Source organism: Homo sapiens, chromosome 10 (assembly GCF_000001405.40).
Source record: "Homo sapiens chromosome 10, GRCh38.p14 Primary Assembly".
NCBI classification, from domain to species: domain Eukaryota; kingdom Metazoa; phylum Chordata; class Mammalia; order Primates; family Hominidae; genus Homo; species Homo sapiens.
In genome coordinates this window covers 54,152,103-54,168,159 of record NC_000010.11, presented here as the reverse complement: position 1 = coordinate 54,168,159, position 16,057 = coordinate 54,152,103, and the positions used below count along the sequence as shown (strand labels likewise).

General features: G+C 37.4%; 1 protein-coding gene across 20 annotated transcripts in view, besides 2 other annotated features; it reads left to right on the top strand.

Annotated features, from left to right (window-relative positions):
• Positions 1-16,057, top strand: part of PCDH15 (protocadherin related 15) — a 1,825,172-nt gene that overhangs the window by 1,459,783 nt on the left and 349,332 nt on the right. For all 20 annotated transcript variants that reach the window (XM_047425663.1, NM_001354420.2, NM_001354429.2 and 17 more), the window contains one exon: positions 14,867-15,060. In XM_047425663.1, coding sequence (XP_047281619.1) covers positions 14,867-15,060 — 194 coding nt within the window. The remainder of the gene's footprint in view (positions 1-14,866; positions 15,061-16,057) is intronic.
• Positions 148-971: an enhancer, noted in NCBI's record as "NANOG-H3K27ac hESC enhancer chr10:55926949-55927772 (GRCh37/hg19 assembly coordinates)". NCBI's record gives its function as "activates a minimal SCP1, AML or CMV promoter by ChIP-STARR-seq in naive H9 embryonic stem cells {active_cell/tissue: H9 hESC(naive)}" and the evidence as "EXISTENCE:reporter gene assay evidence [ECO:0000049][PMID:30033119]".
• Positions 972-1,797: an enhancer, noted in NCBI's record as "NANOG-H3K27ac hESC enhancer chr10:55926123-55926948 (GRCh37/hg19 assembly coordinates)". NCBI's record gives its function as "activates a minimal SCP1, AML or CMV promoter by ChIP-STARR-seq in primed H9 embryonic stem cells {active_cell/tissue: H9 hESC(primed)}" and the evidence as "EXISTENCE:reporter gene assay evidence [ECO:0000049][PMID:30033119]".

Sequence of the window (16,057 nt, the reverse complement as noted above, 5' to 3'; positions counted from 1 at the left end):
CTACTGTCGAGTTTGTATTGGGGTCAAGCGGCATTGCAGAAGAAAATAAGGCATTTAGGTTTTAGGTCAGGTGTGAGTTGAAGAGGTTTTAAGTTTTTGAGAACACAGGCCAAGGGAGTAGAAGGAGGAATGGAGGGTGGAAGGTTGCCTATAGTCAAGGAAGCAAGCCTAGAGAAAAGAGAGAGTAGGGAAACAGAGGGAAGGGGTTCGGGGGTTCTTACCTTCCAGAAAAGTGGGAAAAGGGGTTGGGGCACAGAGATAAGAGGTCGGGGCACAGAAATAAGGGATGGGGCACAGAAATAAGGGGTCGGGGCACGGAAATAAGGGGTTGGGGCATGGAAATAAGGGATTGGGGCACAGAGATACGAGGTTGGGGTGCGGAAATAAGGGATTGGGGCGCAGAGATAAGAGGTTGGGGTGCGGAAATAAGAGATTGGGGGTTCTTGCCCTGTAGAAAAGCGGGACTTGCTGCTAAGGGTGAAAGAGGAGGGGTTGAGGGGTACTTGCCCCTCTCCCAGAAAAGCAGAGAAGGGTTAGAGACAAGGAGAGAAGGGGTTGAGGTACTTGCCCCTTCCCCAGAAAAGCAGGACTTGCCGCTAAGGGTGAAGGACCAAGGCAGGCGTCCCTGTGTGGTCTGACACCCTTGAAACGTGGGTGTATAATCAGGCGTCCCTGCAATGATTAAACACCAAGGGAAGGCTGCCTTCCCTGTCCGTGACCGGCGCCGGAGTTTTGGGTCCACGGATAAAATGTGTCTCCTTTGTCTCTCCCAGAAAATGAAAGGAATTGAAATTAAGAGAAGGGAGAGATTGAAGAGTGGAAAGGAGAAAGTGGTTGAGGGACAGTGAGAGAGGTTGGAGAAGAGAGTAAGAAGAGGCCGCTTACCTGATTTGAAATTGGTGAGATGTTCCTTGGGCTGGTCGGTCTGAGGACCTGAGGTCATAGGTGGATCTTTCTCAGGGAGCAAAGAACAGGAGGACAGGGGATTGATCTCCCAAGGGAGGTCCCCCGATCCGAGTCACGGCACCAAATTTCATGCGCGTCCATGTGAAGAGACCATCAAACAGGCTTTGTGTGAGCAACATGGCTGTTTATTTCACCCAGGTGCAGGCGGGCTGAGTCCGAAAAGAGAGTCAGCGAAGGGAGATAAGGGTGAGGCCGTTTTATAGGATTTGGATAGGTAAAGGAAAATTACAGTCAAAGGGGGTTTGTTCTCTGGCGGGCAGGAGTGGGGTTCGCAAGGTGCTCAGTGGAGGTGCTTTTTGAGCCAGGATGAGCGAGGAAAAGGACTTTCACAAGGTAATGTCATCACTTAAGGCAAGGACTGGCCATTTACACTTCTTTTGTGGTGGAATGTCATCAGTTAAGGTGGGGCAGGGCATATTCACTTCTTTTGTGATTCTTCAGTTACTTCAGGCCATCTGGGCGTATAAGTGCAAGTCACAGGGGATGCGATGGCTTGGCTTGGGCTCAGAGGCCTGACAGTTATAATGTCCAAGCATAGTCATCTGAGTAAAATAAAAATAGTTGGGTATTGAGATATTTCAAATACAGGAGATCTTAGGGGAAAAAACAAACATTTAAATAGAGCAGTAGGGATTTCTTAAAACCCTAGTAAACTTGCTCATCCAGTTTGGCAAAGGAAACAAACAAACAAACAAAAGCACTATTGTGCAAGTCCTAATATATGTATGCTACATGTTGTATTACTTTCTTGGCTAGATTATAATTTAATCTACACAGATTTTTAGGTGATTCGTACTAAACTAAGTGCTCTGAAAAATACGTAGAACGAGTAAGGCACAGCCCTAATCCTCAAGGAGTTGACTATATTTTGCAAGAAATAATCCTTCTTCACAGTGAAATAATCAGAAAACATCACAATTATTGAGTTGTTAAATTTGATGAGAAAGACTAAGAGCACTAACGAGAATTCATCAAAAGTGAGTGGGGATGATGATCTGTTAGAGTACTCAGATAGGCAAGTGAAGATAATATGATGTTGAAGATGAAATGATACGGCCAAAGGCATAGTAATTTCATGAGGCATTAAAGATACAAATTTAACTGGCATTGGAGAGAAGAGGAACTGAATGCTCAAAGATTTGCTTTTCTTTTACTAAGTCAAATATATGTTGGTTTATTCTCCCAGCCCCTTTGTCATGACAGGCTTTTCTGTACTTTTGTAAAGTATTTTTATGTTTCTGTAACAGCATTTCATTTAAAGATAGGTTTCTCTCTCATCTCCTTTCCTAGAGCACCTTCTGTTTGACAGAAGTTATTGTTTCTGTTTCTTTTCCACTCTTCATTTTTCGGAGTCAGACATTTGGTACAAATTAAGGTCTGAATAAATGGATCCAATTATTTATAAATTAATTTAAGATGGCTACCTTGCATGTAGAGTAGTTTAGATTTGGCATTGTATACAACGTGAGATTTCTTGAAGAAGTATGAAAGACTGGGTCCTTAAATCGATGGGTTAAAGCTAATGAGATGGAAATTAATGGAAGCCAACTTTGAGGAAATCTTTTTTTGAGAGTGTAAGTTGGGCATGAGAGAATTTGATAGCATTAGAGCACTTAAGGTTCCAGTTTCCAGTCTCAGAGTTTGAGTAATTAGAACCAATGAACCTTTACAAAAGGATCATGAAGTTGCTGCAGAAAAGAAACAAGCCCTTTAAATAGTCAGGCTGTGAAAAGAAATGCTTTAAAGTCATCTTCTTGTTGTTTTATTTCTTGCCTTTTTTTGGGAAGAAAAATGCATAGATGGGAGATTCATCTTCGGTGACAATTATTCATATAAGTATTTAATGATCATGTTATTATTAATGTTATCAATATCTTTTTCCAAATTATACAACCAAAGTGATAAATTTGCCAGCCACCTACCCTACTGAGGTGCCCATCATCTTGGATTATTCTAGGATATGCGTAAGAGAAGGGGGAAAACTGGGAGCCTGTTATGCTTTTTGGCTTTAAAGCATCACTTGTTCACATTAAGGCCACAGAGAATAAATCTGAAAATAAATACATTTGCAATCCCCAATTTGCTTGGCCAGCAGGAGTTATTGAAGAACTTCCTGAATGTTATTGACACATGAAGAAATCAACAAACATAAAAGCAAACCCATTATATCATTTTTCCATCAGAAATCACACTGAATAGTGAATTTCCAGTGATAGTTTAATGAGCAGCAGCCTTAGGTTCAGACTGAATGCCAACCTGGAGAGACCCAGTAGACCTTACACAGCTCCAAGTTGATTTAGCTTTAATTAAGGATACCAGGCAGGCAACAATATAGCTTCTATGGCAATAGCATAGTAGAAGTCTTGTAACTTTAGATATAATATCTTATGACTTCTAAGTCATCTGCACTCATTATGTGTTACCCACTTGCTACACATTTCTGAGGAATCTTCTTAAAATTTTTGTTACACTAACTTCTATAATATCTAGTGCATTAAAAATAGATGTTAAAACACTGGCTATCACCAGAGCATATTTCATACACTAAGAAGTTGGAATTCCCTCTACAAAGCAAATTAACAACCATAGATAGATTCACTTAACTGTTCTGATATTTCTTTAACATTTGAAAGACAATTTTTCCCCCTTATCCTCTATTACTTCTGCCTTTTTATAAGTGTTGATACATTCAACTGGGTATATTAGTTTACACACGTAAATTCAATTCTTTCTCTGGCAAATCCTTCTACATAAGGATTACCTAGTTGTAAGTTTTATGTTGCCCATCCAAATAATCTTTCTGTCCTAGAGATCAGTATGCACTCAGATTTTATTTTTATCTAACTACATAAATGAATTTAAAAATCCCTTATCACACGATAGAGCTGAGGCAGAGAGATGAAATATTTAACACAATACACTTTAATATTTCCAAATTATTTTCTCAACTTTCCTAGCAAAAAATAGACTTTTCCTACATATCATACATTTTACATTACCAGAGTAGTCATTAGATACTCTTTCTCCGACAATTCTGCATCTGGTCTGATAGCATAACTATAAACCATCCCCTAGGAATAAACTTTCACTAGCGAAAGCTTCTGCATATGAATGCAGCACACCAGTCACTTTTCTTTAATAAAGCAATGCATTGATTCTTAGTCTGTCCAAACTTCGCCAAAGGTACCATGAAGAAGATGTTTGTTTCCTAGTTCATAGAAATATGACTGTAATAGAAGATTGATAATGCCCATACTTACAAATGACATCTTGGTATAGTTTAGATTGTCCGTAGTTCCCAGAGATATGTCCCTCCTGACTTGATCTTCTAGTATAGCCAACTAGAACCATTTAAATACATCAGAATTTATTATAATTGTTATTTCAGTAATCATTGATTACTCTGTAATCATTCCTGAGTAATGCCAAGTTATTGAAAAAGAATGTTCCCTACTCTGCTTATTTAGGTTAATATGTTTGCCTAAAAGCCATCTCTACTTGATTCAGTAAACTAATTTATTGAACTTCAAATCCCTCTTAGTTCTTTATGTCCAGTGTTGATTAAGGTGACTCAAGGATTGTTCCTCGGTTTGGTTTGGCTCTGTGTCCCCACCCAAATCTCACCTTGAGTTGTGAACCTTAGTATTGGAGTAGGGGCCTAGTGGAAGGTAATTGGATTATGGAGGCAAATTTCTCCCATGCTATTCTCATGATAGTGAGTGACTTCTCATGAGAGCTGATGGTTTAAAAGTATATGGCACTTCTCCTCTCGCTCTCTCTCTCTCTCCTGCTGCCATGTGAACAAGGTGCTTCCTTCTCCTTTGCCTTCTGTAATGATTGTAAGTTTCCTGAGGCCTCCCAGTCATGCTTCCTGTTAAGCCTGTGGAACTGTGAGTCAATTAAAACTCGTTTCTTCATAAATTACCCAGTCTGAGTTAGTTCCTTATAGCAGTGTGAAAATAGACTGATACATTTCCTCTAAGTATATATGATATGAATACGATTCAAGTATATTGTGTGCATACAGAAGTATTGTTTCTCCCAGAAGCTTGTAGATTAGGCATATTCTACTTCTAGGTGAAGTTCAACCTGAGTGTGCAAAAGGATCCTTATAATTGCCCTTGAGAATTTCTAGGAACAAATCATCAGGATATGGGGTCACCATATAACTTTACTGTTCACCTTCTTGTTTACAATACTGATTCCATAAACGTTTGTTTATATTTCATCCCACACTTAAACACATCTGGTGAGGCAAAAAAGAAAAATCGACTCTGTCATACTAGGAAACCACCGAAGAATGCCTTAAGTGATGTCATTTTTATACATATCTATACATGTATAAGCTATGGCTGCCAGCCACTGCATATCAGATAAGGTCAAAGTTAGAATTTAACTCAAGGCTTCAAATGTAAAATTAGGATAAATATAACCAACGAAAAAGGCCCAAGTGATACAATCCTATCTCATATTCTGGCATGTCATAAGGAGACATTAACCCCAAATGATCCCAGTAGAGTTCTCAAGTATATCTTGTACCTTGATTTCTGCCAAATCTGTGCAATTCTCCAGCATTGGCCATTAATCATTACCACATCTGAAGGGAGCTGCTAAGAAGATTATACTCTTGCTATAAAATGTTCTCTCAGAGGAAAATATGAAGGTATCTTATCTTGAAATCTTTGTTTGTGTGCTCTCCATTCTATATTCCACAATTTCACCTTCTCTTCTACTGATTACTTTTCTCAACACAGACAGCCTTTCATAGTTGGATTAGCTGATTACATTCTGCTTTTCTTCCATGGGTCTGGCTTTTCTTTGCTTGCCAGAGCTTTCATACCTGTCCATTCATAGGAGGAAGAAGTAGTTTTACAAAGGTAGCATGGAGTTCATGGAGTTGATAGTAAAGTCTCTGAAGGCAGAGGAACATACAGTGGTTTAAAAGAGAAAGAAAGAAACAAATAATCAAGATCTAAACTTTGTGAGGTGCATAAGAAGGCAGGAAGAAGGAAGAAAGTTACTCAAATGATGAAACAATACATGAACAAGTAGCCTGAAGGGCATTCTATAATGTAGCAGAAAAAAATGGATAAATATCATTAAAAAGGTCAGATGTGTGGGTGGAATTATCTTTGTTATTTTCGATAACTTTATTAAGGTATAATTTACATGTCCTCATGTATGTATATTACCAAAACATCAAGGGTTTCATCTAGGTCCTGCTGCTTGCTTCACAAAATGCCAATCAGTGAGACAACAAATATTGCCAGAGAAGAAAACTTTAATCAGGTGCTGCAGCTGAGGAGAATGGGAGATAAAGTCTCAAATCCATCTCCCCAAATGATTAAAATTAGGGGTTTATATAGCAGGGAAAAAATACTTGTGCAAAAACAAATATTAGGGTAGGGTAAGGAAGAGGAATTGGTAAACTGGAATCATAATCCATGGATGAGAGGTCTGGCATCTCATTTTCTGGATACAGTTATCTGGTGAGTTTCAGTTCCTTGGTTTCTAGGAGGGTTGAGGGTTAGTGTCCTGAGGAAGAAACTCCCATGAGACAAATGTAAGTTTCAAGCTTCAAGACAGGGTATGGTGGGGTGGGGGTGGGGGGTCAATTTCTGTGTTTATTCAAAGACCAGTAAACATCAGTTCCATGAAAGAGTTGGGCTGGTTTTAGTAAATTTAGACAGTTGTGCAACAATGACCACAATCTAGTTCTATACATTTCTTTCACCCCCAAAATTTCCATCACCCCAAAACTTTACTCATGACCACTTGTAGTCAATGCTCACTCCCATTTTCAGCTGTAGACACCCCCTGTTTTGGTTTCTGCCTCTAAAAGTTTTCCTTGTCTAGGAATTAAAAAATATGGAGTCCCATAGTATGTATCTTTTACTTTTATTTTACCTGGCTTTTTAAATAGCATAATGTTTATGTAGCTCATCTATGCTGTGGCATGAATCAATGCTATATATCTGTTTCTTTGAGTTACTTAATAGAATCCATCTTGTGAAAACACATTCTGCTTATCTGTTTACCAGTTGATGGGCATTTCAGTTGTTTCCAGTTTAATGTGACTGTGAATATTCTATATAAGTCACTTTTTGGAAATGTAAATATATATACACACACATATATATACACATATATGTTTATTTTTCTGTTTGTTATATATAGATATCTTACGAAAAGTGCTAGATTACATGGTAAATATATACTTTTTAAATAAACTGTCAAACTGCTTTTTAATAACAGTGGCTTGTACCATTTTACCACCCACTACATCCTCTCTGATAGTATTGTCAGTTCATTTGTTAAAGCCATTATACAGATGCTTATTAGTATCTCATTGTGATTTTGTGTTCCCTTAATGACAAATTAATTTGAGATACTTCCATGTGCTTATTAGCCATTTATTGATCTTCTTTGGTGAAATATCTATTCAAATCTTTCACTCATTTAAAAAATTTGTGTTTGTTTTCTTAGTACTGACTGGTAAGTATTCTCTATAAATTATAAATACAAGTCCTTTATCAGATATATGATCTGCAAATATTTTGCAAATACATAATCTGTATTTTATGTATCATGTTCTTATGTTTTTGGTAGAGAAAAAGCTTTTAATTTTTAGGAAGTTTATTTTTTATTGTATCATACTTTTACTGTCATATTTAAGAAAATTTGCCAACCAAATTCACAAAGATTTTCTCCTATATTATCTTCTCCTAGTATTCATAGTGTAGCTTTCACCTTTAGGTCTGTGATGCATTTTGAGTTAATTTTACATATGCTGTGAGGTAAATCTCTCAGTTCATGTTTATTTTTACAGTATTCTTCCCTTGTCCTCAGTTTTGCTTTCCATGGTTTCTATTACTTTTGGTCAACTATATTCTGAGAACATTAAATGGAAAATTCTAGAAATCAACAATTCCAAAGTTTTAAATTTTGTGCCATTTTCAGTAGTGTGATGAAATCTTGAGGTGTCCTACTCTGTCCCCAGCTTGTTGGGGGGGGCATGAATCATCCTTTTGTCCAGCATCTCCAGGACATCTATGCTCCCTGCCCATGAGTCACTTAGAAGCTATCTCTGTTATTAGATTACCTGTGGTGGTACCCTTATTTTACATAACAATGGTCCCAAAGCACAGGAGTAGTGATTCTGGCAATTCATATATATCAAAGAGAAGCTATGAAAGTGCTTCCTTTAAGTTAAAATGTGAAAGTTCTCATCTTAATAATGAAAAAAATTGTATGCTGAGGTTGCTCATATCTATGTAAGAATGAATCCTCTATCCATGAAATTATGAAGAAGAAAAAACAAAGCAATACTCATTTAAATATTTCCCTGAAATCGAGTCTGTCCTCTCTTGATGGAAATATTTACCAGCTAATTTATCTGTATTTTTTTACTTATTGAGTAATTCAATATTATTTCTATACAGGGACAATTCTACCACTTTCAAGCAATATCTTTGCCTATTGTAATGAATAATTATATATTACATTATTGTATTAATGATTACATGGTATCTCAAACCAAAATCTCGAAGCACAATAATCCTAGAAAAATAATCAAAAAGCAAACCAAGAAGAGTAGTTAAGCATCAAAACTATTTTATATATTTAGGGTTCTTACGGTTGAAAGACATAATTTCAAAATAAATTAGCATTTAAAATATGTAATTTTTAATCTATCAGAAAGTGGTGAATTTGGTTTCAGGCATAAGCAGAAACCATGTCATGAGCGATATTTTCTGCTTATTTCTTGACATGTCTTCTTCTGTATGGGTCTCAGTCTTAGGTACATCCAATGAAGACTGGAAAGCCAGCAGAAACACCAGATATAAATTTACCAGTTTAGCCCTAGAGGAAGAAAAAAACACTCTTTTACAGTAGTTCTAGGAGTCACCTTGACTATACCAACTTGAATAACTTGACATGTTTTTTTGCCAATTGCTCCCCAAAGGAAAATAAGGGACTTTTACTGGAAGCAAGAGCCAAGGATGCCCAAGAGGCAAAAACATCAAATGATCAACACATTCATGCATTATCAATTAAGCCATAATTCACTTTTTTTTTTTTTTTGAGACAGACTCTCACTCTGTCACCCAGGCTGGAGTGCAGTGGCACAATCTCGGCTCACTGCAAGCTTCACATCCTGGGTTCATGCCATTCTCCTGCCTCAGCCTCCCAAAAACACTGGGACTACATGTGCTCGCCACCACGCCTGGCTAATATTTTTGTATTTTTAGTAGAGATGGGGTTTCACCGTGTTAGCCAGGATGATTTCAAACTCCTGACCTCGTGATCTGCCCACCTCAGCCTCCCAAAGTGCTGGAATTACAAGCGTGAGCCACAGCTTCCGGCCCATAATTCACTTCTAATAAAAAATATATTTATTCATATAAAATACCGTGTTTACACTCTTGCATTACAATTTATATTCTTGCATATGGTTTATATCAACTGTGGCTTTCTGTGTCATTTTTGAGACTCCAATTTGAATGTTTTTGTTCAGCTTATGCACAATTCAATCATCTTTATATTTGTCCTTTTATATCAAGCTGTATTTTTTTTATCAGAACCAGGAAAGAGCAATTAAAGAGAGTAGTAAACTGCAGCCAAAATTTAAAAGGAAACATTAGGAGCAACTTAGATTATTTTGTGGTCACATGGGTGATTGATGGTGATATGGTTTGGCTATGTCCCCACCCAAATCTCATTTTGAATTCCCAAGTATTGTGGGAGGGATCTGGTGGGAGGTAATTGAATCATGGGGGCAAGATTTTCCCTTGCTGTTCTCATGATAGTGAATAAGTCTCCCACAATCTGATAGCTTTAAAAATGGAAGTTTCCCTGCGCAAGCTCTCCTCTCTTATCTGCTACCACCTTCTGCCATGATTGTGAGACCTCCCCGCCATATAGAACTGTAATTTCAATACCTGTTTTCTTTTGTAAATTGCCCAGTCTCGGGTATGTCTATATCAGCAATGTGAAAATTAACTAATACAGTAAATTGATACCAGTAGAGTGGGGTGATGCTGAAAACATACCTGAAAATGTGGAAGCAATTTTAGAACTGAGTAACAGGCAGAGGTTGGAGCAGTCTGGAGTGTTAGAAAAAGACAGGAAGATGTGGGAAAATTTGGAACTTCCTAGAGACTTGTCAAATGGCTTTGTCCAAAATGCTGATAGTGATGTGGACAATAAAGTCCAGCCTGAGGTGGTCTCAGAGGGAGATGAGGAACTTCTTGGGAACTGGAGCAAAGGTGAATCTTGTTATGTTTTAGCAAAGACACTGGTGGCATTTTGCCCCTGCTCTAGAGATTTGTGGAACTTTGAACTTGAGAGAGATGATTTGGGATACCTGGCGGAATAAATTTCTTAGCAGCAAAACATTCATGAGGTGTCTTGGGTGCTGTTAAGTGCATTCAGTTTTATAATGGAAACAGAACATAAAAGTTTGGAAAATTTGCAGCCTGACAACACAATATAAAAGAAAATCCCATTTTCTAAGGAGAAGTTAAAGCCACCTGCAAAAATTTGCATAAGTAACAAGAAGCTGAATGTTAATCCCCAAGACAATGGGGAAAATATCTCCAGGGCATGTCAGAGGTCTTCACAGCAGCCTCTCTCATCACAGGCCCAGAGGCCTATGAGGAAAAAATTGTTTCATGGGCAGGCCCAGGGTCCCTGTTCTGTGTGCAGCCTAGGGACTTGGTGTCCTGTGTCCCAGCCACTCCAGCCATGGCTGAAAGGGTCCAACATAGAGCTCAGGCTGTGGCTTCAGAGGTTTCAAGCTCCAAGCCTCAGCAGTTTCCACATGGTGTTGAGCCTGCAGGTGCACAGAAGTCAAGAATTGAGGTTTGGGAACCTCTGCCTAGATTTCAGAGGATGTATGGAAACACCTGGTTGCCCAGACAAAAGTTTGCTGAGGGGCAGGGCCCTCCTGGAGAACCTCTGCTAGGGCAGTGCAGAAGGGAAATGCAGAGTCAGAGCCCTCACACAGAGTCCCTACTGGGGCACTGACCAGTGGAGCTGTGAGAAGAGTGCCACTGTCCTCCAGAGCCCAGAATGGTAGATCCACCTACAGCTTGTACTATGCACCTGCAAAAGCTACAGACACTCAATGCCAGCCCATAAACAAAGTTGGGGGGGAGGCTGTCCCCTGCAAAGCCAAAGGGACAGAGCTGCCTATGAGCATGGAAACCCACCTCTTACATCAGCATGACCTGGATGTGAGACATGAAGTCAAAAGAGATCATTTTGGAGCTTTAATATTTGACTGCCCCACTGGATTTCGGACTTGCTTGGGGCCTGTAGCCCCTTTGTTTTGGCCAGTTCCTCCCATTTGGAAAGGCTGTATTTACCCAATGCCTGTATCTCCATTGTATGTAGGAAGTAACTAACTTGCTTTTGATTTGACAGGCTCGTAGGTGGAAGGGACTTTTGACTGTGGACTTTTGAGTTAATGCTGAAATGAGTTAAGACTTTGGAAGACTGTTGAGAAAGCATGATTGGTTTTGAAATGTGAGAACATTAGATTTGGGAGGGGCCAGGGTTGGAATGATATGGTTTGGATGTATTCCCACTCAGATCTCATCTTGAATTCCCACGTGTTGTGGGAGGACCCAGTGGGAGGTAATTGAATCATTGGGGCAAGTCTTTCCTGTGCTGTTCTTGTGATAGTGAGCAAGTCTCATGAGATCTGATGGTTTTAAAAAGGGGAGCTTCCCTGCACAAGCTCTCTTCTCTTGTCTGCCGCCACATAAGATGCACCTTTCACCTTCTGCCATGATTATGAGGCTTCCCTACCCACGTGGAATTCCACGTGGCATTCCAATAAACCTTCCCTTTGTAAATTACCCAGTCTCAGGTATGTCTTTATAAGCAGCATGAAAACAGACTAATACAGATGGGGACATTTGGAATATGCACATGTTGAAACACTGAGAGGAAGGAATTATGAAAGGGTAGGGCTAAAGTTCCTGAATAGAACTATAAAACATCATCGAAAAGAAATAAAAAAAACAAATAGCTCACAATTTCTTACCTTTTAGATATCACAATGTTTCAATAAACACTTTAAAGTTATAGTATTGTTTTTACTTTCATCTGAAACTTGTAAGCAAAATATTGGCCTCCCCATGTAAATAAATGCCCTTTTCATTTAGGAAGCAGATTTCCCTGCTAAATTAGAAATGAGCTTCATATATTTCCATCTCATAGACACTATCTACTGGTCACAGAGTCATTGAACTATAATTGAATTAAATTCTTGCCATAGGTTAGCTCCAAAATTAGCAACTACAACTCCATTCAACATCATCTAATAGACTTCAGAAGGGGACATCTACTGTGTAATGTCGTTGAGGTTTTGGATTTTTTTTTTTTTTTTTTTTAAGAGTCTCACTCTGTTGCCAGGCTGGAGTGCAGTGGCATGATCTCAGGTCACTGCAACCTCTGCCTCTCAGGTTCAAGCAATTCTCCTGCTAATGTTGAGGTTTAAAAAAAAAAAGGTCTTGAGTTTTCGGGATCTTACATGGAAGACACTATTATGATTTGGGTATTCAGAATCAGTGTCTCAGCTTATTTTTCTGACGGTGGACTACGATTAATTTCCTTAAAATATCTTTGTTAGCATACATGCAAACAAATTATATTGACTCATAACCCATTATTTTATTATTTAGTAGTAAAAGACTGAAAAATAGTGTTATCTAGGTAACTTAAACATAGAATCCTTATTTTGTGTACTTGTTAAGCTTTCTACCTCCTAATAATTTCTGCAGAGCTAATTGTGTTCCCTGAATACCTTAGCTCAACTGTGGTTGACTATCTCTGCAATTTAGTGGGTGTTTCTGTCTCCTGTGTTTTGCAGTACTATTTGGTATTTCTAGCATCTCCCAGGTGGGTACCTTCTTCAATGTAATTATCATCCAGCTTATCCTCCCTTCCAACATCATTTATGAAAATGTTAAATAAGACCAGCTATAATGCTGACATCCCTGAAGCACACTCCTTAACACCTTTTCTTAACTTGATGCATTGCCATTTATCATTACATTCCTTTAGCCAATTTAAGTCCCAGGAAGAATGTTAATATTGAATCCAATTTGTGCTAAATTTTAATTAAGATTTCCTGAGACATTTTAAGTGATTTAAGTATAATCAAAATTGATATCTCCTCTGTTATCCCCATCCTCTAATTTTCTAATTTTATCCATACACAAAACAGAATTAGTTTGTCTGGCTTGAATAGCTCTCTATAAATATATGCCATTCATTTTGACTGTTTCTGCAAATGTTTCTCCTTTGCCTTTAGGAATATGTCTGTCAGGCTTATACAAGTCGCAGAATCATGTCATAAAATGCCTTTCCTTCCAGCAACCACATCTGTCCACCCCCAAATAGCCAGTCTCAGGACTTAGTTGCATTAATGTCATTTCCTTTTTCATTCTCAATTATTTTTTGCTGCTATGTCTATGGACATTATCACTCTAAGCATGACATATAATAAAAAATAGAATATGCATAATATAACCCCTTCAGCACAGTACAGTGTATAAAGTACTTTGTTTACATTTATTGAGGATATTAAACATGAACTTTTGAATGGGAAATTAGTTAATATGATGTTTCTGAAATTGAATTCAAGTTTCAAGGTAAATGTGTATGTTTACATTTGATCAAGGAAGGTATACCAGCATCTTTACTGTATTTTCAAAGGAGTCTGCAAACTATAAAAACTACTATTTTTAGAAGTAATGTATTGAAAATATAAATATAAGTAAATAAAACATTTCTACAGGTAGGTTAATTTACTACAATTACATGTGTTTTCTTTATTCCACAGAAAACTTTTAATTATATTCCCTCATGTGTAAATTGAGACCACTTTCTTTCATTCTTCACTTTTTGTATGATGAATACAGAAAATACTATTGATGTATGTAAAATGCTTACTATAAGATTTCTGCTAGAATCCCTTTATATTCTTTTTCCCCTTTAATTTATATTTATCAGCAAGTCAAGGAGCCACTTTTAATATAATAAATCACTGTTGCTTTAATGTTGCTTGATGAAGTTAATCATTGTTATCTTTTCATATAATATCCCAAATAAAGTCTTTTAGATACCAGTTCCTTCAAAATGATTATAGATATATGTAAATTGGCTATACAGATGTTTACATGCTTAATTTCAAGGGCTCCGAATAGATTTTCTTTCCCCAAAGAAACATTTCTTGGGCTATGTTACCCTTGATATTCTACAATGGGAGATGCATTTGTTTGATTGTTGACACATTAATACTCTACGACTTATCAGTCCTTTATAAATCAGGGTGTGCAAGTTAATAACCTTTCCTAGAGCAATTGTAAACAAAAAGGACACAAAGATGAGAGTGTCTGGGAGACAGGGAGGAGAACATTATGGAAGGAAAAATGAGAGTAAAAGGAAGGTTGGGAGTAACAAAGGCCGACTATGCCTATTTCATTTTTTCCAGGTTCAGTCTGTTTTAATATGAGTTTATGTGTCAAGAATGCAAGGCAAGACAGGAAAAATAAATTTCCTATAGGGATATTAGATTTTCTGTTAGGGCTTTCCTCTTTTTCCCTTTATTAAATTAAAATAAAGATAAGCCTTCAAGATCCAAAGTTTATTTCTTAATCACTCTCACAAAAAACAAAATCACTCTTATTTTTGTGATTGCTTTAGTATTGTAACAGGACACAGTAGCCTCAGTTAAAAAAACAAAAAACAAAAAACAGTATATATGTCAAGGAAACTTTCCTGTGTTTTTTTCTTTGAAAGCAAGCTTCTTTTGTTGGGGGAAAAAACGACATGGTGGTGAAAAGTTGAGACCCAAGAGGATTTATGTTGTGATTTTCAATTCCAGCTCACTGCAGTCGACGCAGACGAAGGGTCAAATGGGGAGATCACATATGAAATCCTTGTTGGGGCTCAGGGAGACTTCATCATCAATAAAACAACAGGGCTTATCACCATCGCTCCAGGGGTGGAAATGATAGTCGGGCGGACTTACGCACTCACGGTCCAAGCAGCGGATAATGCTCCTCCTGCAGAGCGAAGGTAATTTATATTAGAACCAATGCAGTCTTTTCATCGGGCCCGTTTAACCCTGTAATTAAATTTAAGAAGCGCGGCAAGTATTCTTTTATCCTATAAACATCTAAATTAGATCAGAAAATCAGAGAGACCAGATTCTCAGGAACTGCATGCATATTCTGATTTGGTTAAATTTTGGGAAGAGGACAATATCAGAGGCATATTTCAAATTTATTATGGAAAAGTAAGGCTGCAGACAGAGAAAGGCTCTTTTCTTCAAAGAAATTAACAGATGTGTCAGTGGCATGTAATGTCTCAGGGTTTCAAAGTCACTTCTGAGTGTATAGGTAATTAAAATAGTTATGTAAAATAATACATGTATTTAAATATGTGTATACACACACAGACTCGCACACAGACACACACACACACACACACAGCAAGCTAAAAGATTTCCTGCTATTACAATTGCATCTTTCTAGTCTCCCACCTGAGAAATCCCTTTTGTTAATTTATTGTTTATTTCCAGATTTTCAGTATCATTCCAAGAAAATATGAATAAATATTAATATATTCCTTCACTTTGCTGGGGTTTTTTTCCATTCACAATGAATGTATCCTGGAGTCCTCTCCATGTAGATACTAGATAAATCCTTCAGATTATTTTTTTCACAGTTATGTAATATTCCTTAATAAGTATAAAACTATGGAAGAAGTCTATTATTGATAAACATATTCCTTAATAAGTATAAAACTGTAGAAGAAGTCTATTATTGATAAACTTTTCGATTTATCCTCTTTTATTGACAATGGAGAAATATTTAACACTCAACATGCATCAGTTTGAATATGTGCAAGTATATCAGTTTTTTATATTGGTATGTTAAGCCCAGATTACAGTTATTCTACGTTTTCTACTAGTGTTTATGTGGATTCATATTGTATATTTAAATCTTTATTGTATTTGAGATGTATCTTAGTACACAGTAGGAGGTATTAATGCAGCCATAGTTCTTTCCAG